Source organism: Homo sapiens, chromosome 14 (genome assembly GCF_000001405.40).
Source record: "Homo sapiens chromosome 14, GRCh38.p14 Primary Assembly".
NCBI lineage: Eukaryota > Metazoa > Chordata > Mammalia > Primates > Hominidae > Homo > Homo sapiens.
The window spans coordinates 33,671,587-33,697,840 of record NC_000014.9 but is presented as its reverse complement, the minus strand read 5'-3'; the positions used below and the strand labels follow the sequence as shown (position 1 = coordinate 33,697,840).

Here is a 26,254-nt window from a genome sequence, read left to right as displayed (position 1 = left end):
CACAATTCTTTAGCACATTTAACAATCTATTAATAAAATCTCACTCGCCATGATTAATGTGGAAGTCTAAAACACTGGGTGGAAAAAAGGAAGAAAATTCATAAGATACATGAATGTATAATTCTTTAGGAAGCTTTAGACAGTCAGCAGATAAGTTACAACTTCGAGGCACACTTCAGTCATCTTGGGTATCAGGTTACTGTAGTTTCCCATCACCATTTAAGAAGATTGATTAAAGGTTCAATCTGATCTAGTTATTTTTGGAGAATGGGTTAGTTGCTTATTTAACTGGCATGTTAGTAAAGACTGAACTCTTATTTGTATCACTGCCATAAACACATTGCCCCCAACTTTTCCCCGGCCCTCATAATTAAATTATATGTTGAAAAATGAAGGCAAGCCTTTTCTGTTTTGGAGAATAAATCATTCAAAACCGGTTCAGCTTAACTTGTGATCATCCTAATCAAGAACAAAAGTTCTGCCAACCCCCTGGATGATATTCTTCTCTGTTATGTAAGCTCTGGCTGTGTGAGTCCAAGCTGCCTGGGGGCAAATTCAGCCTTGAATTTGAACAGTATTGCTGTCTGATAGACATAGGTAGCAGGCTTATTTAGATGCCAAAGATAGCTCAGAAAAGTCTCAGTGATGTAACCAGGCATCTGGATATCCAGGGTTGGTGACAAGAATCTTTAATTTGGCAAGATTTTCCTGCACTCTAAAGTTGAAGAGCTTCAGACCTAGAATAGGCCAACAGGCAGCAGTAGCTGGCTTTATAAACACGAAGTAGAAGAAAGACCAGGCTTTCTTCTATAGCTCAGAAAAGGCCCATCACTGAATGTATCATTAGAAAAGAAACATGAACTGGTAGTTCATAAATTTGTGGAGAAACAGCCCTTGGGGCAGTAACTTGGTATTCCAAGTTGATTTGGGCAACTCAGAAGTAAGTAATGCTTTTGCAGCGCATGTTCAGCAGATTCTAGATGCAGGGGTAACTCCTCAACTTCTCTTCCCTGAACAAATCATCATGAAGTCATATACGTTATATACGAAACAAAAGCAAGAAACAAAACATACTGAATTTTCTTACTAGCAACCAGGACTTTGGGTTTACAGCAAATGTACTTTCCTTTCCTGGAAGCAAACTAAATTACATAGAGATTTAGTTAGGTGGAGGAATGAATTTCATCGGATAATCTAACTTGGATGTTGAAGTCAACAGCAGCTGCTATGGATATGGTATTAGAGTATAAAAATCCAGGAGGCTGCTGTCCACCTATGAAAACATAAAAATCACAAGACAAACCCCAAAGAATAATGCTGCACTATTTACCGAATGCGTTACTCTACTGAGCTTTTCAAATGAAACGCTTCATGTTTTCATGAAGCACTCTCGTGTTTATTATGTCTTTCGATGGCCCAATAACCATGTGAATAAATACTCGTTTCATTTTGTGGGTGACGAAAGTGGCTCAAAGTGTTTAAAGTACATTCTTAAGGCAAGCCAGTTGGCAGAGACAGAACCAGGAGTAGAATACGGGTTACTTTTCTAGTCCAGGGTTCTTTTTGTGCCACCACTATTGTCTCATTAAAGGATTTCATTTACTTAGCACATAGTAAGTGGTGAGCAAACGCTAAATATATTAACAAATGAATAGTGACAGGTTAGATAACATTAGGAATAGAAAAATACTAAAACCTGGGGAGTTACAAGACAAGAGTACTAATTGGAGGAAGATGAATAGTTATTACCGCTATTAAGAAGGAACTTTGGTACTCTAATCATGACATCAAGGTAGAGGTTTTCAAAACTGTTCCTAAATAAAGAGAAGAAAAGAAAGTAATATTTCTTCTTCGAGAGGAATACAGTCAATTTCTCAACAATAAGATAATGAAAGTCATTTTTTAATGACATAGGGTACCCCTACATTAAGTGCTACCTGACTTATGCAGGGAAACCCCACAGTTACAGCTGTGCAGGCTTGAATCTTTGCTTTAATGATCAGCTAAAGTTTTAGGTCATTTTGAAAGTATAGAAAGGGATTGCTGTGGCAATCAATTCCTTTTATTTGTTCTTTCTTTTGTCTTTGTCACTTATGTAGAAATAGAAAACAAATTATAGCTACCCTGTAGCTCTCACAAGTCAGAATAATTTAGTTTCAATAGACTTGGTGATACTGTTTAAACCTTGAAAGTTAATAAACATGGATTTGTAGAATTAAAAATATTGAACTATTGGAGTGCTACCAACTCACAAAATTAAAGTTTTATAAGCCAAAGTCGAAGACTGCATTCCACAGTTTAAATATTTCATATCTGACATTTTCCAACTTGACAATGTGAAGTCTGATTTTGATTTTTCAATCCAATATGAGTTTTGGAGTTTAATTCAAAATCAAGATAAAACCATTTCTGAGACCACCTTTTTCTGTTGTCCTCTTAATATTAGACAGTGTATTATTTTCACTTTGGGAAACAAACTTTTCTAACTAACGTTGTTATACAACAATGCTACAACTAGGAATTAAGCAGTGGACATGTGTTGGTAGAGGGTAACAACCTTAAAAGTCAGAGTCTCTCATATGGTAGCATAGGACCAGCTTTACATATAAATTGTATTCAAAGAAAATACTTTAAAAAATACTGTGAATTATTATGGAAGCTCCCTCAAGGGTGACCATCTGAAAGCAGAGTTAGGAATCAAAAAGTTGGGTCATGTGGTTCTGTGAGGTCATCGCAGTAGAACCTCAAAGGACAAGAAGTAACCTTTTGTGATGTGGAGGTACTTCAGTTAGTTGTATGGCCAGAACTGATGTGGTGGTAGGATTCCTTGCTGCCTAAACTCAACAGCCAGGCAATATTTTTCTTTGCAAGGCCTTTAGAAGCTATCAAGGGCATCATATACATGATGGTAGGAGATGTACATGAAGCTACAAAGAGGCTTCTACCAAAAAAGCAGACACAGAGAATTAAATGATCTGGAAAAGCCATCAGGGGTCACGTAGAAAGGTGATGTGACACTTAAAGGGATTTCTCATTTAGGTGGTCTTGCTGTCGCAGAGTATCTGATGGAAAGATGTTGTTTTGACTATAAGGAAATTGGATAAATCAATATAACTTAATGTTCAAGTTGGGAATGTAGACAGAAATGAAGATCTCCATGTAAACACTGGTACCATTTTGTGACAGCTTTAGATCTGACCCATTAATGTTCATGTTTACTAGCTTTGTAAAAAAATAAAGGGCAGGTCGACCTGTGAAGACACCAAGAAATAAGTTACAGCAGATCTTTGACATTCTATACATTTTATAAACTTCCCCATTATCACTTCTTGTGTAGAATACCAATGGGAAGAGCTCCTTTGACTATTAAATCACACCAGGAGAGGAAATGTTATACGCAGGTTCCTTCCTAAGGTCCTTTTACTAAACTTAAACCTTTTTGGGGGGCTTTTTGGCTGTCATTTAATTAAGATTGACAGAACACTAACTCCAAATCAGCACAGCTCTCCTTAGATCAGTTTTGTTGTCAAATTCACTTTCTGAGTAAATGGAAAGACTAACACATATCATTTCTTAGATAATGTTTTAATATCTTGCATTGAATAAAACTTTTTTTAATCAAGTTGCAATGGTAGCATGGAACTCCACAAGGGGCGAGGGGGTTGCAGATGGCTGCATTACTCTAAATGTTCAAGCTTGACTGACCCATTTCATCAGCACTGTCAGAGCCTTGCACTGATACATGTTGACAACATTTAATCTTAAAAAACTGAAAGAAATGAATTAATATGCAAATTTCATCAGCTTTGTAATAAAAATGTCCTTGAAAAAAAACAGTGAACATGACCCCTGAGGAATTGTGTGAATTATCCCAGCTCAATTCTTTAAGTTAGTCAGAGGTACGCAGGTCCGCAAGGAAATCAGTGCAGATTTGACTTGGAAATAATTATGATGAAGAACAAAACACAAGCAGGTTGAATAAATGTAACAACTTGGGAAAAAGTCTTAGTCCTGTTTGTTATTCACTTTGAATTAACAGGATTAGGTTTGGTTTTTGAAAATAAAGGAACACCACTGTGTAATTTTAACACCTAAGTAATGTGAAAACAATATTTTTTAACTATCAATTTTAGTGCATATTAAGAATCACATCTGACAAACTCAGGCTTTTTTTCTTGGCTGTCAGAGTGCAGCTCTTTGGCAAAAGAGATAATTACAAGAAACTGATCTTTACGCTACTGTTTGTATGGGACTTCTGGATTGATCATTTTGATAGAAATGGCTGGTCAACTCCTAGTACAATAAGGTTGACTGAGTTTTGTTGCTATTGAAGTGACTAGTTATTTCACTGAATTTACCACATTGACGGGATCATGTAAACACAGTCTCTAGATGTGAGTCTGATCTGTAATGATCTCCACATGGGTATGCGGAAGGTCAACACTGAACCACAAACTCAGTCCAGGAAAACAGTCGTCTAGGTAGGCATGCAACTGTAGCTTTCTGACTTTGGGTCTGGACCCAACTATAGAAAGCAAAAACAGGGATTGGTCATAACAGTTGATTATTTCCATGTAAAAATTCAAGATTTTTAGGGTCCCCCAAAGGAATAACAATGGTAACAAAGAAGCATAAATCATTGAGCAAAACAAAACGAAAACAACAAATTGATACCACAGGTAGCTTACCAGAGGTCAAAATCAGTGAATGAACAGTTGAAGGATGGATATAATTCCTTTACTCCAGTAAATCTCATTAATTTCAATCAATGTATAAATATTAAGGAAGATGTGGTTTTTCACTTCAGTGCTTTGCATTTCTGTGCCACATGCTAGAACTGTTTTTGCTCTCATTTCCACACAATGAATCATCCAAGCTCTGGGATCTGAAAGAATTCACTTTGCTACAAGTTCAGTTGTTATTCTGGGCACTGCTGATATTTTGCTACGATAAAGTCTACGCAAATTAACTCAAGGCTTTTTTTTTTTTTTTTTTTTTTTTTTTAAGACATTGGGCTACTTAAACACTTGTTTTAAAAATCTTGTTTAAAAAAACCCCAAAGCTCACCAAAAACTGATAGTCTCACACAAATACCCCAAATAAGGGTTGTTAATTAAGTTGAAAAACTCTGCTTAGTCTCCTAGAGGCTCTGCAATCCTGCAACTTTCCTGATTTCATATATCTTTGGAAGACCAAGGCATATAATACAGATTTTGCCCAACCAAATTAATCTTTTCTGTAAGCTTTTGTGGTTCTCTACAAAAGGCTTTTAAGTGTCTCCTTTCTTTCTTAATCTACCATCAGTAAAATCCTACTTTTATAGTGCCCTTTGCACCTGCTTGCATAAAATGAATAACTCAATAGTTTAATTATGCACTATTCTATCAGTTGGGAAGTGATATAAAGTTGCAGACAGAAAAAATAATAAAAACCTCTTTTGGTATCCAAAATTAATATACGTCAAGCTCAGGGTAAATCTTAATCTTTTCGAAACATTTTTCTAAAATAGATGTTCTTTTATCACCTGGCACATCAAGACCCATTGGAGGGAGGGGATTTTAAAAAAGGCATTTGGTTAACATGCTGCAGAACAGCACTCTCTTTTCCACCTCACTTCAGTCTGTTCTTGAAAGATCTGAACAGTTGTATAATAATGAAAAATGGGCAATACTTGTGGGGCATTGCCTGCGCTCACATACCTCCGCCCACGCATTCATCATTCTGCAGGTATTGTCAGTGAAAGTTTAATTGCATAAACACTCTGTAACTGTCCTGTCATATTTCTTGTCAGTCTGGATTCCCTCTCCGGGCTCACTATCTCACAAAACTATAATTGAATTGCTACCAAATCACAAGAGCACCCCCACTCCAAATAAAATCTTTATGAATAGAATTTGTTTCCTATCAGCAGATTTGACAAATTGTGGCAGAGGAAGGGCCTTGGTGATAATTTTTGAGTTTATTCTCAATGTAGCTATTTGCTGAATGCTCTTATCTATTTTAAAAAAATTTTAAAGCCCCAGTTGGGGGTTGAGGGAAGCATTCAACAACCCCAAGGGGCTCTGTGGTAATAATTCTACAGAACCCAAGGAAGCCAGTGGAAAAACGGGAAGGTTTTCTTTGCCTTACTATGAAAGTGTACTGTTGGCAAATGAAAGACATAAGAATTAATTTGAAATTAAAGTGGGCACCTGTCAAAGCTAAGATTTCACCAAATTCTGTGAATTCTTAGTTATGAGGTATTAAGTACCCAATTTAGTCAAGTGTTTATTCCATTACATTTTCACTTCATTTCTCCTTGCACCAAACCTTTCCGTGATCATTACTCATGTATGAGCTCTGAGCAGCCAGATTCGTTGACAGATTTTTAGGACCATGAACAAATGAAAATTAATCAAAGGCATGACACGCAATTGACTAAATATGGGATCATAAAATTTTAATGTATTTACGGCATTGTGAAATTATTAATATTTTCCAAAAACAAAAACAGAATGTATCTGATTTGGAATAACGATCATCTTTTGTCTAGTCTTTGTTCCATTTTATATTCTTATAAACTGTACCTCCACATCCCACAATTTCACAATATAAACTCTCAGCAAAGGCCCAAATACCAGCAATTCTTTTCTGTAATTCTGTTGGTGGTCTGGTCATAAAATATAGCTGCTGGTGAATAACTCTTAAATGGAACTGGGCTTCACCCAGATTGACAACTGTCTGATTGTTTATGTTTTTAAAATGTGCTTATCAAAACCATGTAGGATTGATGGGTGTTTTTTGATGAAGTTATGTTTTTGCAACAGACTTAATTTAGGACTAAGGTTAAGGCTTAGGATAAATCAGTGCATTAGATGATTAAAGCACATTCGTCTTGTGGGACACTTAAATCATTTATTTATGACACTTAAAAACAAGCTAGGAAAGAAAGCACCATAGGCTTAACGAATCGTTTTTTTTTTTTTTTTTAACAAATTTTAAACTAAAAATAATGACTTTTTTAATGGAACTCCAAAATATGCCAGTTTACTGAATATCCAGAGGCAGAATCAAATATGCAGTGGAGTAAACATGATGAAAAATATTAGAATTAAAATTTTCAACACAATATATGCGTGTATACATGCCCGTCTCCTTCTTCCAAAATGCTTTTTAATTGAAATGACTCTTGTATTTGAGAAACTAGGGTTTCTGCCTCTCTTTTACATGTTCTCTTTTATTTTAAATAGTAGAAGATTTTCTGACAGTATAGGAATTTGGACTATTGTACTGCACTGTACTCTGTATGATAAAATACCTTGTCAGGAGCGACTGGATGGCTCAGGGGATTGGTAATGGGATATATAGAGCCTTTCACCTGTAGGTCATTGGCTTGAATTTTGTCCAGGTTGGCAGTGACTAAAAGTCATTAACATCTCATGACTGCTTGGTGGCCTATGTGAAATGAGTTTCTTAATTTATTTATTTAAGTCCATATATAGTACCTATGGCCAGGGCATTTGGGCATCTCTCTTGCTTTTACTGATGCATTCCACCAGATCTACACTCATTTTAGTTCTCAAGATTAGTGATGAACTGGAGTCCTCCTACACGAAATAAATTGATTCACATAAAGTTCAAACCAATACCGAGTACCGCCACACCATTCTCCAGCACAGACCGGAACGCCGCACGAAAGCTGATTCGATAGTAAAGGAGCCATGGGTTGCGGAGACCCAATGTCCAATTCTGGCTTGCTTAGTCTTTCAGGGTACATAACCCACATTGTGGCTGTGGTCATATCACAGTGGCCCAGCCAGATAAAAAGAGAAAATATCGGTCAAGCACGTCATATACACTATTCATCAGCTAAATTATTGGGTTATAACCAGAACACATTTTAATAGGCCGGGCTAGAAGCTGCAAACCCTTGGAGACTAACATCAAGGTCTATTCTAAAGTGGAGCTGGCCAGCCTCCAAGCTAGCCTTAGAAAAAGGGAAGTCAGCAGGTGTATCTTGGTGTGCTGAAGCTAGGAGCAGTGGGATGGACCTCTGAGAATAAGCATTATGCATCTCTGTTAAACTGTAAGAAAACTGAGCATACAAAAAACGTGAATCTGCAAAACAGAAATTGTATATTATAGAGGTTAGGGAGAGGTAAATTATCAGTTTCCAGAAGAGTATTTCCTCTTCAGTGGAGTCTACGAAAGGGCCTCATGTAGGGTGTATGTGTGTATCTGTGGGTATGTCTGTGCGTCTGTGTTTTTTCAGAAGCATATCTTTTGGGTACTACGATTTGTGTAGCATTTGGACCCTTTAAGTGAGGTAACTGGAGCACTGTGTCAGTGAAGCCCAAATTTAAGCTGTTCATGCCTAGATGCCAGTTTCCTATCACCTAACCCCTGGCCACCCTTTCCATTAGGAATAAACTTGGTAACAAGAGGATGCTTAGTTCAACAGAATTTATAATAATACTAACTGAACACTGACTCTGTGCCGTACTACTGTTTTAAGCATTTTGTATGTATTAAACTCATTATACTCTTATAAGACGTGTTAATATATTAATTCATTTGAAGATAAAACCAACAGGTGATCATTCCTACATTATTCTCCAATCTAGACCAGAGGGCTAAAAATTTATAATGGGAAAACTGGGGCACATATAAGTTAATTCACTTGCTCAAGGTCACATATATAGTAAGTGACAGAGTCAGGAGGTGAACACAACGTGGGCTGTCTTGTTCTAAGGCCCTACGTACTACGTATTTGTACCTGATACAGAGCTAGCTTAAGGAGTATGTCCTCAAATGTCGGTCAGGATTGTCATCTTCACATACAGTAACTCTCAATTATTAGGGTAACCTGCAAGTTAACCAGACTGCAGATTTTAAAAGTCTATAATATAGGCAGTGCAATTTAACTGAATTCCTACAAATCCGATAGAACAACCTAGTAACTGATTACCACCACTGCACTGCTCTGGGCAGCCGTAATCATATCTTTGCACCAAAATCTACTGCTGTATTGTTATCATGGATGGAAAAACCAGAGACTTCCATGCTCTGCCTGTGTAAATGAAGAATAGGTAGGATGGGGTGGAAAAGAGATGTGACAGCCTTCAGATCAAAGCCTAGGGCTGCACTAAAAACTTGGAACTTGGAGTTGACAGGTCTTGTCTTAAAACTTTGCAGTTAATTGCTAGATTCATCTAGGAGCTCACTTTTGGGAAAGCTTGAAGTACACCCTGAGGTCTGATGAGAAACCTTTGGGAGATTTACCAAATGAACTGGAAAATTTAGCCTCTGAATAGAATGGCCCATCTGTGACTCTGCTTGCATTGGGTGGGTCTTGAAAGAAGAGAGTGGCATGGGTGGGGGAAGGTGGCATCCAGCTAGCAGAAACAAGATCATGTACAGTGCTTAATCATGTGCTTTCGGGGTATTAGTAAGAGTTTCTCTTAAAAAAAAGTTTCCCACAGTCAAACACATTGGGAAAGGCTAGTTTCAAAACATAGGTTTATTGATCTTACATGAATTTCAAATTTTTACTAAGCTAACATTCATTGTCAATTTCCAGTGAGAACACGTGCTACCAAGTTTTTTCCTTTGCCGTTTAACTGGGGAACTCTCTTTCTGGGCAAGGGTTGAAAAACGACCTATTGGGTACTATGCTTACCACCTAGGTGATGGGATCATTTGTACACCAAACCTCAGTGACATGCAATTTATGCATGTAACCTGCACATGTACCCTCTGAACCTAAAATTAGAGTTGGAAAAAAAAAGTTCATCTTGCAGAGCAGTTATGAGGAGGAATATATTTTGGAAGTGCTGTATTAGACTTTACATCAGCTGTGCATTTTAGAAAGCAGAGAAGACCAAGTGGTTCATTACAAACTGATACATAGATTTACCTAGCGTGTATAAAATGGAGACCTCCATTAACTGAATCTTTCTGCAGAAAATTTTTTGACTCCTATTGGGAGGTGGTTTATGTGGCTACAGGTTCTGGGAGAGCAGAGACATTTTTGGTAACTACCCCATCCCGGAATCTAGGACAAAGCCTGGCGCATGCATTCATAATAAATTAAATGAGTAAAGAATAAATGAAAGAATGAATGAATGTTTTGTGTACCTAAACTATAGACATGCAACTATGTTTTTACATGTGAAATGTAAAATTTCCCGTTCTGTGAAATGGGAAGTATTTTCCTAAATATTGGTCAAATTTTAAATTCACTTTTAAGTTACCAATTAAGTTTCTACCTAATTTTGACTAACAGTAATGCGGGCAATCAATTGACACTTTTGATTTCCCTCTGACATCAATCCCTGCTGTGTCTAATAAAGACATGGCTGGACACAGGAGAGTAAGTAGAGTTTAAATTCTTTCTGTTGACATGAGTTTTATGAATGTTCTTGTTAGTGTTTTTATTTGGAGAGGATGCCCTCTGATGAGTGAGAGGCACTGGCTAGCAGACTGGTATTTTACCAAAGACACACACTATACTTGAATAAAATGTAAAGAAACGGCTTTGAACTCTAAGCATATTTACATATTAATAGCTCATGATCAATAGCATATGTAATTTTGTAATTTTCAAAATTTTCCATATTTTATTACCAATTGATTAAAAAAAGTGACAGTGGACAGACGGCATCATCGATTCCAGTCATGTGTGAAAGCTTAAGACCTCCATAGTTTCTAGAGCGTTAATAATTAGCTCCTGGCTACAGACTGACCACAGGCATATTTCTGTCTTTTTCTAAATGTTATCTTAATTCCAAATCATCGTTTCTTCCTTTGCAAGGCCTCCCAAAAATGTTTCTTCTCAAGGTCTATTCACTCACTTCTGGGTTATAGAAATAATCTCTTAAATGACTTTTTTTGTTTGTTTGTTTCTGGTCTTCTCTGTTCAACCCATCCTGTACATTTTTATAAAAATAAATGAGCCAGTATCAAGGCCAGTGAACATAAGTTTCCTATGTTATAGGGAAGACTACTCAAACAGAGCTGCCTGGGAAGGGTGGCGAGCATCCCTAGCTGCTGGTGGTCTCAGGCGCAGGGGTTGGACAGCTGTTTTAGATGGGCTATTTAGAGGCACACTGGAGGAAGGGTTAAGTATGGGGGCTCTGGTGCCAGCCTGCTTGGGTTCAAATTCTAGACCGTCTACCTACTATCTGTATGACTTTTACAATTTTAAAAAACTGTTCTTTTCTTAGGCCTCTCATCTGTAAAATGGGAAAAATAATAACATCTTCAATAGTGTTTTGTGAGAAATAAATGAGGTGATGCATATAATGGGTTTAGCAAAGTGCCTGACACGTGGTGAGTAGTCAATGAGTAATGGCAATTGCATTGCCTAATGGATTCAGGAATTCTTGGGTACTCATAAAATATGATCCTCAAGGAAGGTTCCTTCTAAACTTTTTTGTATTTATAAGTAATAAAATAATGTTTTCATTAGGTCACTGCTCTCTTCAATGAGTCATACTCAGAACTTAGCACACGGATCTTAGATTCTTTACCCTGGCACCCCAGCTCCTCCCTGATCTGGGCCCATTCTGGACAAGCACGCACCTTTGCCTCAGTGAGGAAGACAGGGCTCCTTCCTGCCTCCCAAATGCAGCATGCTCACTCCCACTGTGCTGCTGGGATGAGTCTCCTGGGAGATCACCTCTACCTTTTGGCTCTTAGGTTGGTTTTCATGCAGGCCATGTAGGTCATCCCTCCTCATCAAGGCCAGCCTGCAATCATTGAGCTGCTCACTGATTTCTTTACCATATTTATTTATGCCACAATTGAGGATAGCAGCACTATCTCCTCCTTCCTTCTCTAGTTGTCGACTATGTATAAATAGTCTATGATAATAATCTGTTTGTTTCCTAATGGAAGATGTCACATCTACCTCTCCTGTTCTCTATAAGCACATAGCAAAGTGCTTACAATAAAAACATGGCCTGAGTTCAAACCCTGGGTCCAGTGTCTGCTCTGGTGTGGGGGCAAGTTCTTCACCATCTCTAACCTTGGTGTAGGGTCATTTTGAAAAATAAATTACTCATAAATGCCCACTCCTGTAGCTGGAACATAGAGGAAAAGATAAGATAATGAAAGCTATTAATATATCATTAATGTTATCAGAATATTTGCAACAAGTTATACTTGGAGTAGACAAAGCTAAAAGCATCAGTACCATTTTCCAAAGTTAGAATTTCCTGAATTTCAGTTAGTTAGTGAAATCTGCTCTGTATAAATGGAAGGGAGGCTGTTTGGGGTACCTCTCACTCAGGACACTCCTACAGAGCCAGAAAAAGCAACAGGCAGAGGGACTAGTATTTCTGTGAACCTATCATGCAGCAGGAGCAGTGTTAGGCAATTTTTAGGCTAATTAAACAAATGAACAAAAACCTACCCTTGATAACGTCCATCAGTCCCTGATAATCATGGTCTTGATATGTTTGGGCATGTCAAAGCAATGTGTTCCTAAATAAGCAATATTTCTGGGCTACTAATAATTTTAGGGTTGAAGTTTTAAGCCTGAGATAGCTCTGCCAAGACTGCTAGCAGCGGCAGTGTGTGCTATGATGCTATCCTACTTACGCACCATAGTGTCCTGATCCTCATTACCACGCTTCCGCATTGTGTTACTCATCTGTCCCCCTCATGTGATGGTCAGCTCCTGGGAGGTGGGGAGCCTCGTCATTATTTCCTTGGTGTTTTGTATGTCTGACACGTCGTGGACATTCAATCAATGGTTGTTGAATAATCTACACAATCCCCGTTAGCAAGTGGGTCTGAATCGTGAATGAAAATTCATTCTAGTTAATAACAACTAGAGAAAAGATACAAGTTCTTCCCTCAAGCTAATTCTTCTACTAATAGAAGATGGGCAGTGTTTCCCATGGGTCCCAAGAAACCATGATTGTGTTTCATGAGCAGATCCCTCCAGTGGGACACGTCCACCTCCTGATGAACACCATTGCTCTGCTCTGCCTGCTCTTTTCATCTCACACCTGCCTTGGAAGACTGGCTCTGAAAGGAAGGAGCCTGGAGAAACTGCACGGAATCTGGCCCAGTGTTGGCCGACACAGAGCAGAGTCCAAGTGTACACGGGTGATGTTGGCTGTGATCCTGGCTGGGGAGGCCTATGGCTGATGCAGACCAAGTGACTTAGGGTTGAACTGTGCCTATAATGTATTCAGATGCCACTTACTTACTGATCACTGTGGTATGAGTTTAAATGCAAGAATGAGAGCAAAGAGGCTGGGTGTGGCGGCTTATGCCTATAATCCTAGCACTTTGGGAGGCCGAGGCGGGCAGATCACCTGAGGTCAGGAGTTCAAGACCAGCCTGGCCAACACGGTGAAACCCCATCTCTAATTATCTAGGTGTGGTGGTGTGCACCTAGAGTCCCAGCTACTTGGAAGGCTGAGGCAGGAGAATCACTTGAGCCCGAGAGATGGAGGTTGTAGTGAGCCGAGATTGTGCCACTGCACTCCAGCCTGGGCGACAGAGCGAGACTCCATCATCTCAAAAAAATAAAAAGAAAAGAAATAATGAGAGCAAAGAAAAGGATTAGATAGATTAGATTATTTTAGTTCTAAGTAAGAGACTATGTTAAAAAAAAAAAACCCACAGCACAATGAAATACGTGCATAAGAGGATAGTTACGTTTCTCTCTTAACTTCAGAATCCCCTTGGAGAAAATTCCTCTGGTTCAATTCCTACCAGGGACCTATCTATCTTCTTTTTCCATCTAGTTCCTAGGCTTCCCACCTGCTGCAACCCTAATATTGTACCCTTTCCTCTAATCTTGGCCACAAAACTAACCTGTGAAGCTTGGGGTGAGCCACTTAGAATTTCCATCACTTTTTCCTCCAGCTGTAAGACAAGGATAACACACTGACCTGCCTCAGAGGGATGTGGTGTGAATTAACTCCTGTAATTAGTGGTTTCTGTGCTCTGCATACACCAAGAGGATATGAATGCCAACCATTATCACAGTGGCCTGGGTAAGCGTTGTTGCTAAAGCTATACTTGGGAATAACTGTTGGCAAAGAGCTGACAACTGGAAGTTGCAAACTTTACACAGAAGCAATATTTCCAGTATTTTCCCCAAGCAATCATGAGTAAATTGCTCACTAGGGGTGGAGATGGTTTCCAGCCAGTTCTGCCTCTTCTGATCTGTGCACCCTGCAAAGCTCAGTCAATGCTAGGTAACTGATCCTTCATAAGTAAGTCTGCTGTTTAGTGCAGATGAAGAATTCAGAGTGGTATAATTTGGACAGGGAGGAAACTTCTGTGCAGTGGAATGTATTAAAAGCAAATAACTTGTACTTTGTTCAAGGCAAGAGCTATAGAAATAGAATTTATAATTTTTAATTATCCAATGACAGAGACGGCCACCTTTTTTTTTTTTTTTTTTTTTTTTGAAATGAGGAAAAACAGGTCATAATTAACAGCTTGTCTTGGGTTTCATTGTAGAAACTTGCAAAATACATCCCTATCAATCACTATTGGCAAAGAGAAGTCAAAATTATGACCTAGAAAGCTGTATGAAAAAACTGTTAAAAATAATGGGTTTAAAAAATTGACTTCCTAAACCTTCAATAGAAGATTTGGAAAAAGAATGCTGCATATAAACTGAGAGAACCTACTGTATATTTTGATAAGAGGCCTGTGCTTCTATTATTCAACAAAACATTTGCTACCCTGCAAATATCACTGTATTAATTTATATAAAAGCTGTATTTTTTTTCTGAGTTGTAACCACTGTGATTTAAATTTTGAAAGAGAAGAGAAAGTTAGTTTCAGAATGGCATGCAGAACTGTGCCAAGATCCAACATCTTCTCTGGGAACAAAAGGGAGGCCGCCCTTCTGTAGCTAGTTGCGTCATCAACGTGTGGGTCAAGGAATTAGGTCCCAAAGGATTCCTGGGGTTGCAGCTGTGCCTTCTGGGAGCTGGCCTAGAAGGGTGGAGCTCAGCTATCGGGCCAGGAGAGCCTAGTGGGAAGGAGAGATTTTACTTTAGCTCCCTCAGGCAAGATTCTAAAAGTACAGTTTGCTTTGCAAATGTTCTCATTTTACACACAAGCACACCAAAGTGTGAACACACACAAATTAAGGTGATAAGTATGCCTAGGCCTTGCATACCAGAAAAAAGCAATGGAGAACATTTTTCCCTTCTGTGGCAGTTCCAGGGGATCTTGTTTAGCTTAGCTGGGGATAAAGGTGACAGTTAAAAATAGCCTACTTCGCTCATGAAAAAATGGTACTGCATCAAGGTAGCTTTTTTGAGGCAAAAGAATCATTCTAGGTTTGGCAAGGTAGTCCTTGTAAGAGCACTGGCTTGCTTTTGGAGTGCACCCATCATCTTCATTTCAGGATTGGCAAGAAGGTAAGTTCTTAATGATGACATAGTTAAGAAACACAGATAATTTTGGATAAAAGCTGTGTTTATGCCTAAATGATGATCTCTTTGGGTTACACAAAAGGATTAGTAGTGAGGCTGCTTTCTGACTGCTAGATTTGCCGCATACAGGCACAGCTGGGTATTAACAGAAGTCAGACCGATTTGGGGGACTCGTGAACTTGTCCCGATCATTGCTACAGCCCCAGTAGGAATGCATTTTAAATCAATCCATCAGAGATCACTATGGTAGTTTATCTGATGGATTTATCTTTGCCTATAGTATATGAATATGGAAAGCAATTAAATGTGTGTTTACAGTTTGATAAACATTCATCATAAATTATACATTTTAATTTCATTTATTAGTTGGGGACTATGGAAAGCAGGAATTTCATTGCATACAAACTGCCATTCAGATTGAAGGATTAGCAGTTTCCTGAAAAGGTGCAGTAATTGTCCAAACAAATTCCATTTCTATGTTAAGTTAGTCACTACACTGTTTGTTTGTATTCAGAATTTTGGAAAGGCAAAAGTAGCATACCACTCGACTACACTGTTTGTCACTTACCCTTCCAATAGCTCTAACTCTGTCATTAAGTATAAATCTAGTGTGAATGAACTTTCTATCATTTGACACTTTGTATGAATGCTGTACTCACCATGTGAATTTTGAGCCCTATTTATGTATAAAAGAACTTGGTCCAATCTTTTAGTATTAGCATGCTGAGCAGTCTCCATGATATTATCTCACCATAAAATGACTCCAAAAATCTCAGTTATTAATGGGATTAATGGTGATAACATAATTCCAGAAAGTTGCTACTCTATATGTAGATATATTGGCAATAAAAATCAGTCACTGTATGCCTTTCCCCAGTAGGGGATCTCTCACTTTTCCCTGATTTTTAAAGGCTTCAGATCAATAACTGGAGTGACATTATTAACAGCTCCCTCAACACCTTGGCCAGCGCTAATATTAAATCCATTACACCTTCTGTTTGACATTTGCAGTACAGCAGAAAGTGCTGTAGATACAGTCACATTGTCTGGGGACTGGGGTTGGATGTGGGGTTAGTAAGATGGTTTCCCTTGCCTAACTTCTAAATTCAGTTCATTGATAGAAATCTTGACCCAATACAAAAAATATCCCTTCACAACAATATACCAGATGGTAAATAATTCACCCATAGAAGTACAAGTATATGTCATATCCAAGCCGTTTTTTTATACAAAATATTGATCCGATCCTCAGATAAATTTTTACGTTCTTTATGGTTATTCCTAGACATTTGTTAGTCTAATTATACCGCTTACTGTGAAAATCATCTAATGATGTCAGAGGAATTGAGCTCCTGTTTCTGTAGAATTAGGAGTAGTCAGCAATTTACCATAGCACAGAGGCATAAGTTGAAACTGAAGTTTATTTGCATTCAGGCAAGTACTCTACTGTTTCCATTTTGCTGGCCTTAAAAACATTCGGGACATAGCGTAAGTATAATAGCATAAAAATCATACTACTATAATGATGATCCTAATGCCACAAAACAGGCTAGATTTTGCCTGAAAATTTAGACAAAACATGATAACCCATACTTTACACAACCAATGGGTTAGCCATGCAGCTGTAGTTATTCATCATCCAAAGTACTGCCTCATGCATTTTGCTAAATTGTCTAAATCCTGGTACAGTATTGATTTTCCCCTCTATGAACTCACACCCACCCAAAAAGCCACAAGAGCCCCTTGCCCTGGCTGAGTTCTCTCTGAAGTAGGATCCAGGCATGTTCTTCCTGACAGGGGTCCTACAGAAGAAACTGATCACTCGCTGGTGGGAAGCAAACCACTGGAGACAGAAAGGGAATTTTATCTTAGAGAAACATGAAAATGAAAAAGCTAGTTACCAGAAGTATATGCATTACAATCTTATTTTAGAAAGAAATACAAAAAACCCCACCAAACACATACATACCTACATACACAGGAACAGGAACAGAAACTAAATCTAGGAGGGTACGTAGTGCATATATATGAATAATGGTTATTTCTAGATAGTTGGGATGGTGGTGGTCTTTACTCCTTTTTCCCTGAATTCAGGAAGAAGGAGTAAAACACAACACTTTTACAGCCTAATATAGAGAATATTACTATTTGCCTTCAACATAGGAAGAGTTTTAAAGTTCCTCCAGGATTTCTTGAGAGCTGCTTTTCTGTTTACTAAGCATTTAAAAGGCATGGCACTGAAATTTAAGAAAAAGATGAGGATAGTACTCATAATCCCAAGATGGCAGAATCATTAAGAGTAATAATGAAAAGGCACAAGTAGATCTGCAAAAAGAAAACCCTCCAAATGCCATTGGTCAGAGGTTCTGTGCTCCTCATACTGCGGGAGCCTGCAGGACAGCAAAGGGCAGTCTCTTCCAAAATGTTCCAGTCAACCCCTAAATAGGCACTCTCGGACTTTATAACATTTTAAACAAGGCCACTCATTTATCTTTTGCCTGACTTAAGATTTCTCTGAGATAATACATTGACTAAACTGTTAAAAAATGTGCATACATATAAAATATTTATTTGGGTTTGCTGTACAATCAATGGATCTTTTTTTTCTCCTCCATTATCCTGAGGCTGAGTCAGGACAAGACAATCTCAGGGCTGACAGTTCAAAGAGACAGAATTCCTATTGTGGCATAGTATCACTGCCTCTTAGGCTGGCTTAGTCACTTATTTCCTTCTATTATAATGCCAAATGTTATTTAGATTCCAGTCATTTAGTAATGCTACACTGAACACATCAGGGCTTCTGAAAAATTCCATACCTACTAGTCCTTTCATTTTCATAATAACCATATATCAATATCCCTTTCCCAACTAAATTACACCGTTTAAAAAAGAATCTGTGTTTTATCAGAGTTCAAGAGATTATGATGCAATGAACAACAGTCTTCAAAAATGTTCCTTCATGTTAGTTATTAAGAATTAGGAAATCTTGTTAAAATTCTTTCAGCTTTTAAGAAACATAAGCAGCTTTGTGATGTAGTGCCTGACATGAACTTTTTAAGTAATTCCCTTGGAGCCATCATCTGCATTAGTGAAGATATTTCATTTAAGGTAGCACCCTACACTGCTTTTCAGTATTTGAGCAGTCAGTCAATCTCATTGCTCTTTTAAGCCCCAGATAGAAAATAACCAACACTGCAGACTTTGAAGGTTAAGGTAGCTTAACGTTCTCTACTGGTGAGAGTCACATTCACCATCAAGGAAGAGGGCCTCTTCTTATGCGAGTGTAGCTGATGAGCCCAAGTCAAGTGATGTGGAAGGCAGAGTTTTCAATCTCACTAGCAAGGATGGCTAAAGGAAGGCTGGTGAAGGCAGGGGAAGGAAACCTAAGTAAATTTGTAGTATCTTTCAATCACACTTCAATGTTAAATGATTGATAGAGTACCTTTAAAGGAGAGAGTTAACAGTTGAAGGAGATATATATTCTCCTACAGTCTAGAAGTAATAATCTGTAAGAACTGTGTTCTACTAGTGTACCTAGGGTTATTTTATGCATGCTAGGGCTTCATAGAAGGCATGGGATTTATGAGAGTTCTTATATTGACATATTTATTTGGGCTTGCTGTCGTATTTAGACTCTAGCCTAGGATACTCTAGCAGAACTGGTTTACAGGCTGTGGATTTTTTTTTTTTTCTCCCAAAGTCTCACTGTCAACATGTATTTGGGGAGACATCAAACTCAGTATGAATTGACAGGATGATCTAGCTTCCAAGAAGACCAAATTTAACCTCAGGCTGCATTAAGAGAAGTATAGTAGCCTACCCTGAGAAAGGTGACAGTTCCTCTGCTTTGCACTAATCAGAATATATCTAGAGGGCTGTGCTATTCTCTTCACTGTATTTTTAGAGGGTTCTCTGCAAACTGAAGCACAGCCAGGGCAGGATGACTAGGATGGTGAGGCTTTTAGGAACACGCCATTGAATAAGGGTTGTGAATTAGCACTGTTTGACCTGGAAAGGAGAAGGATGACAGGAGGAAAGGAGGATCTGATGTAATTGACTTCACATGTGTGAGAAGCTAGGATAGGGAAGAAGGAGTAAATCAGAAATGTCCCAGAGGGCAGACCTTGGATCAGTGGGAAGTTGCAGCGAAGCAGATTTGGGCTCCATATCAGGCATAACTATCTACGAGAACTACTCAACAAGGGAGTGGGCAGCCTCGCAAGTTCATGAGCTTCCTATCAGGGCAGAATCTAGCAGAGACTGGAAAGGCTGCCTGCTGGTTTTGCTGTAGAGATTTGGCTGCGTATGTTGGAGGTTGGATAAAAGGATCATGAAGATCCTTTCAAACTTGAGCATTTGTGATTCAAGGAAACAAACTTTTCTAAGACCTTCCCTCATACAAAGGCTTAGAAACTTAAATTCTTTCATGCTGCGTGTTTGAGTCATGAGGAAGAGGTTCTCCAACATCAGGATGAAAGAGTAGAAAACCGTTTGCATGTGCTGTTTCTCAAATATGCCCAGATATGAACATTCTATTGACTAAAAAACAGTTCCAGTTATCTCGCTGACATAGCTGCTCAGTAAAGTCAGTGAGCTATGGTATAAGAATATATCACTTGCCCACCTGAACAAAAGTATTTTCATTTTTAAAAGGTAAAGAATAATCTTAAATATTCTCTTTTCTCATGTGTGGGGCTCACTGAAGAAGGATGATCACCAATGCTAAGAATAATGAATGCCCTAGAAACTACAGTTAACTTCAGTGAGGAAAATGGATTGGTTCTTAAAATACTTCCAAGAGTCAAATGTGTGTTGTTTTTTTTTTTTCCTTCTGTGTGAGAAAACATATCGTGATTACTTCTAGGCAGGCCAAATTATTGTCTTCGAAGTATGTTGAGTTATTTTAATGTTAATCTTAACATAGGTTTTTCTATTTTTCTTGTTAATAAAATGCTTTTGTATTACGAATCTATTTTAAAACAACAGATCAAGTAAAGTACAAGCATCTTTGAAGAGTGAAAAAATAATTTTCCAAGTAAGCAAATACAACTTTGCACTTCAAATCAGGCCTTGATTCATCAAAAAATCTTAAACTTCTCATGAGAAAAATTAACATTTAAACCACTGCTGCTTGGCCAAGCACTCCACCACACAAGAATATGAAATATCTCCTCTAAAAAAGTACAAAAAGGACAAAACCACAAATGTGGAACTTCAATTAATTTAAAGCCCCAATCAGCAAAGAATAAATCCTTCGCAGATCTAATTACCAGCGCTCTCGGAAGACCCAGGCCGACCAGCCAATCTTCCCCGTGTTTGAACAGCTTGATGAACTAGGGGACTGATGGATATCAAGTCATTTTGTTTAATTTATAAATGGATTTTCCCCTAATACTTAAATTATCATCAGTACAACACAATGAAAATGGGAACATTCTGAATGCAAAGTCTATAAGAGTCCTGGAAGGAATCCCAATGAGGAATGTCACCTCTGTTCATTCCTCTATACAATTGATCTAATTAAATACTGAGGGTAGAAAGGCAGTTTAAAATGTAGCCATTTCTGTTTTCTTTTTAGCCTTAATTTATCTGTTCACATCTTTCAAGTACCTTCTGATGCTTTAAAAAAATAAAGAAACCAAGATTTCTACAAGTCCCTGATACTTTTAATTCTCCACGAGCTACTATTTGGAATGCCTCTGCCATAGATTTTGCTGAATAATAAATAAACGCATTACATTTAGCCATGGTAACAATAAAATGAAGAGGGTATTCCAAATCGGAAGCTGTTCCCTCTAGTAATTTGAAAGAGAAACTAAAAGAACTAGTACCTTCTACATGTATTGTTCAACTGAAATTAGATCTCTGGATTATACTTATTAAAATGTCTCCTTATTTTCAGATCTCTTCCTTATTTAATTACTGCATGGGACTGGAAGCTGCATGGAATTGTTAAATACCCTTAGACCTATTTATAGTCTCTTCACATGGGTAACTTGAGCACACTCATTTGGCAAAGGTCCTGCCCACCAACCCACACACTGGGTTTGCAATTCCCACCTGGCTCGGGGGTCTCCGACTGAGAGGAGGAAGATGCTGAGCTGGCTCCGTCCTCAGCAGTGCCCTGTGACAGGAGACCCCGCCCAGGGGGGAGCTTCATGCCCAGCTGCTCAGCCATCTCCACGTGATCTCCGGGGTGGACATAGTCAAAGACACTGCTGCCTGTCAGCTCCACCTAGAGGGCGAGAGAAAGGGTGGGAAGGAAAGACATTATATAGGCTTCTCCATTTTCAAATTCAACACAGTGATTCAGATTCTGAGTAGAAAAGAAAATACATTCAGGTCCCAGAAACAATCCTGGTTCTGTCTTCATCTTCAAATACTTAAGAATTCTTGAGGTGAAAGAGAAAGATTTTTTCACATGTATTTATTTAGCAATTGTTAAGCTCAGTTTTTTTTTTTTTCCTCACACACTGTTGTTTGCATAAAGCCAAACATTCTGTGAAATGTGGACGAGTCTGCCTTGTATTCAGCTGTTTTATCCACGCATCATCAAATACTTGCGTGTTTGGTGTCAACCACATGATTGACTGAATTCTACAGTTTTCTTATTGAGAAGTTTGGGTTTTGGATAGGAACAGCTATAGAAACAGCCAGAGATAGCAGTCGAGTGTTTTCCTTAAAATACACAGATTTCCAAGATGTGTTTTTATACATATCATCTGATTTCCATGTAAATTTAAATGTAAGAAGGGCTGCTTACAAATATATGCAAAGGCATAATGTTTTCATTAAAAATTACTCATTAGCTCTGTAATCGTATGAGGGATTTTCCATACAAAAGAGGTCAGCTGGGGTCTGAAGCAGCCATATTTTTTTTCTGCTGCAATCAGCTTGTTTTGCCTTCAATCTAATAGGATACATAGTACAAATCTCCTTGAAGGCTTTTTAAAAAATGTTTTATTTTGTATACTCTTTGAATCAGGCTAACTCTCTAACTAACTCTAAAGGCAGAGAATGAATATCAAATATCAGAACTGTTTCAGCCTGAAATAGAGGCACTGACTATTTTAATGCTGTCAGGCATGACCCCTGCGTCTGAGTTGTGCGCCGTCTGAAGGGGCAGAAGTTGCTGGTAAGGACTGGCCTTACCTCTGTACTCCTCTAATGCTCTAAATTTTATCTCCTAAGAATAGTGGTAATGCTCTACATTACATGCACATACAACAGGGAGAGATATGTCAGCAATAGGACAAGCAAAAGCTCTTTCCCAGGTCACTAATGGGTTTCCCGGTCCTCCGGAGTGCAATGGTTTCAGGCCAGCTATGACGTACCATGGAAGCTGCCAGAGCTTCAGACTGTCACAAGTTTCTTGGTGGATATTTACCTAGAACCCCTGCCTACCTCACTTCCCTTTCCAGGATAATTTCCAGCATCCCTCCAGATTCCACCTGCGTGCCTGCACCCTTTCATGTCAAGAGGGAAGACTGGCGGTGGAAAAACTGTCACAGAGACTGTAATACTCAGAGCAATTCTTGTCCCCAGAACTCCAAGTCCCGGTAATATGATCACATCTACTCCCAGACTCCATTTGATTAACATCTTAACAGGCTGCAGATCTTCCACATCTATCAGTTAACATAGGTATAGTCAGAAAAACAGGAGGCTAAATTCAGTTTGGTTAATAGCTATTCCTGAAAAAGGCTCGCGTAACTTTTACGGAAAATTAGGCATTTTTCTCTTGCTATTAAATTGCACTCTCCTCCTGTATCACCCAACCACTGACTATATCATTTTACAATCCCCATTTCCTCCATTTGTTATTGCTACAGAGCGTAAATCGGGATTCACAGTGATCAGCTCTTACCCTCTGGGAGGGGGGGATTACATGGAAATAATCCCTTTAATGTGCGCCTTGCCTCTAAGCACTTCACACAGTAATAAATGGGTAAACTGACTTTGAGCAATTAAGAAATTAAATGGAACTAATAAAATGTGTGTTTTAATATTTCTTGATGATGGTTATTTTGTTTGGAGATTAGTGAATATGAGGAAGTCACTCTCGTTTTGCATGGAGTCCAATTGTAGCACTTTCGTAAATATTTCTGTCACTTTTCTCAAACTAATTTTTTCCTTTAATACTTCAATGTGCATTTTGGCACGGACCATAGATTGTGATAGGATGACAACACAAATGGCAGATAAAATAGATTTTTTTAGGGGAGCTGGTTATTGAATGTTCATGTAAGCCAGTCTTATAGAGAGCAGAAATAGGCCACTCTCTCCACATCCTGATTTGCTCGGATGTGCAGATACTTCCTTCCTATACAATAATGTCCGGAGTATGGCACATCTAGGGCAAGACTGAGTCTTGATGTGCCACAGAGCACTAGGGCACGGTGAGGACTTTTTCTCCCTGTGGCCTCATGGGATTTCCCACCAACATACCTCAAAGCTTAATGATGAGGGCGAGGTGGGCACTGGGAGTTTGACACTATCATAGTGTTTATATGTATACTGTAGTTAAGGCTGCACAGTGTGGAGGAATGCCCCACTACTTGGACTCATAACCTGACTTCAAGACCAGAATCTTCCTCCTCAGTTGTGTGACCTTGGACAATTAATTTAACCTCCCTGGGCTTCAGTTTCCTCTTCTAAAAGTGGCAGCATTGCTGCTCTGCAGGGCCCTAGGAGAACCATTCACATTGTATTCCACATGGATGCTCCCCTGGAGTTGTGTTCCTTGGGAATGGTGCCAGGCTGTGGCCCGGAGAGCTGGGAAGAAGACAAGACTTGGTCTTCCTGCCTCTCAGCCTAATTTTGAAAATCTAGTGAAACTATGCAGAAGAAATCACTTTGTGAGAAGTAATCACCGCAAACATGTCTTGTTGTTGTTGCTGTTTGGTGGATCAGGATGAATGACATGAAGAAATGTATATTATTGTGTAATTTTGTGTCCCACTTTGGCACATCATTTTAGTCAGCAGGGGGTGATACATGCTTTCAGCCTTAACAATAACAATACTGGCAGTTATCCACTATGTGCAAAAAGTACTAATTTTTGTGCTTTGCTTTGATTAATCCTCATAACAATCTTTTGAACTGGTATGATCATGTCCAGTTTACAAAAGAACCTGAATACTGGAAAAGGCCAAGGGTGGAAACAGAATTTGGTTCAGAGCCCACTTGACCTATTACCTCTCAGGTAGTAGCACTGGCAGCCATAGAGGCTAAGCAGAGACCTCTGAGTTCCCCTGTGCTTCAGCCTTGCTTTATTCAGGAAAGAACACTGAACACCATGAAGGGAGGAGGCTGAGGGCAGGCAGCCTGCCAATCCCCTGGAGCTGGAGATGCTTTGCCATTGAACTCTTTGGCCAAAAGAAGGCACTAAAGGAGGTGTACTAAACCAAAACAGAGGTAGGATTAGACAAAGGTCAACTTATATATGCACCTGAGTCATTGTCATCATTATCATCACATCTTACATGTATCTAACACTTTCAACATTTCTCATACTGCTTTGACTTCATTTCATTTAAATTTTAGAGCCAGAAGACACCTTAAAAACCATCTATTAATACCTCCTGATTTAATGGGAAAAAGCCCTACAGTCCCGAGAAGTTAAAATGCATGTTCAAGTTTACCCAGCTGTTTAGTGGTAGAAACAGGGCTGTAAGCCCAACTGTCTAATTCTCAGTCCACCACTTTTCCCACTAAACCCTTGTCTGATTTTTTTTTTTTTTTCTCTCTTATGGGTACTCACCAGGTGAGACAGACTAGAACTCATGTTTCCTGCTACTAAATTCTGTGCCTCAAAATAGACTACAGACAGCAAGACGGAGAATTTTTTGCTTGATGAACAGACATTACTTCATGTTAGCTTCAGGTTGGAAAAATAAATAGAGCTCCAATCCAATGCTAATTAGGTACCTTTAAATCTTCTGTTACCACCTCTTCCAAAACATGTGCCTGCTGAGAGCTAGGACTAGTCTATTATGTTTAGTAGGTATATTACAAACATTTTGTTGAATGAATAAAGAACGGATATTTGCGCCTGAAAAAAAAATTTCTTTTACTTGTACTTGATTTGGAAAAGTTTAAGGTGGTTCTTTTATGTTAGTATAATGGCATTGTAATAATAACATTATTTATTCCTTAAAATGTATTATAATATAGCATCATAATCTATCTATTTGCAGTAAGGCCTTGAGTTTAGCTGAGGATGGGATTGTATAAATGCCGGGAAGGGACAGGTTTTAAGAAACTCTTTAAGAGAATAGTGTCTGTCTTTCATAACCCACTTGTTTCCAATCTACGGCAAAACTCTGTTTAACTGGTTAGTTTCAGGTGTTAACACGCTTTTGTCTTCATTATTTGAACTGTAACATAGTTCCATAAAAATTAATATTTCTTAACTATCCCTTGATATCACCAATAGTAGAAATTTAGAGAAATTTCATTTTATATTAATTATTGGTCCTGTCTTCAATCCTTAATTATGATCTAATGGAAAAGTAGAGCTTTCCCCCCTCCAATAATGTGTTCTTCTGATTAGTGCAAATTGCATTCTAAGGCAACTGTGAGAACTTCAAAAATCCATGTTCTGTTTATGAAACTCAAGATAACAGACCCATTGATCTTTGAACTGTTTCTCTAGTAGCAGAAGAAGGAGGAAGCATGACTGTTTCCAACTTCACCCACTTGGTCTAACTTTACTCCAGCTGAATGACTCTGGAAGAGAACTTACTTACTCTCTCACGTTGCTTAGTGTATTACAAAACAGCTGAGAATGCATCAGGGGCAGCAGATAGATAGGCAACAAGTAATAAATAATCACATCCAGAAACAGCATTTTGTTT

General features: G+C 38.5%; 1 protein-coding gene across 19 annotated transcripts in view; it reads right to left on the bottom strand.

The window, feature by feature from the left end:
* The window catches only part of NPAS3 (neuronal PAS domain protein 3), an 869,389-nt gene that overhangs the window by 106,333 nt on the left and 736,802 nt on the right, over nucleotides 1-26,254 (bottom strand). For all 19 annotated transcript variants that reach the window (XM_017021582.2, XM_017021583.2, XM_047431678.1 and 16 more), the window contains one exon: nucleotides 21,456-21,630. In XM_017021582.2, coding sequence (XP_016877071.1) covers nucleotides 21,456-21,630 — 175 coding nt within the window. The remainder of the gene's footprint in view (nucleotides 1-21,455; nucleotides 21,631-26,254) is intronic.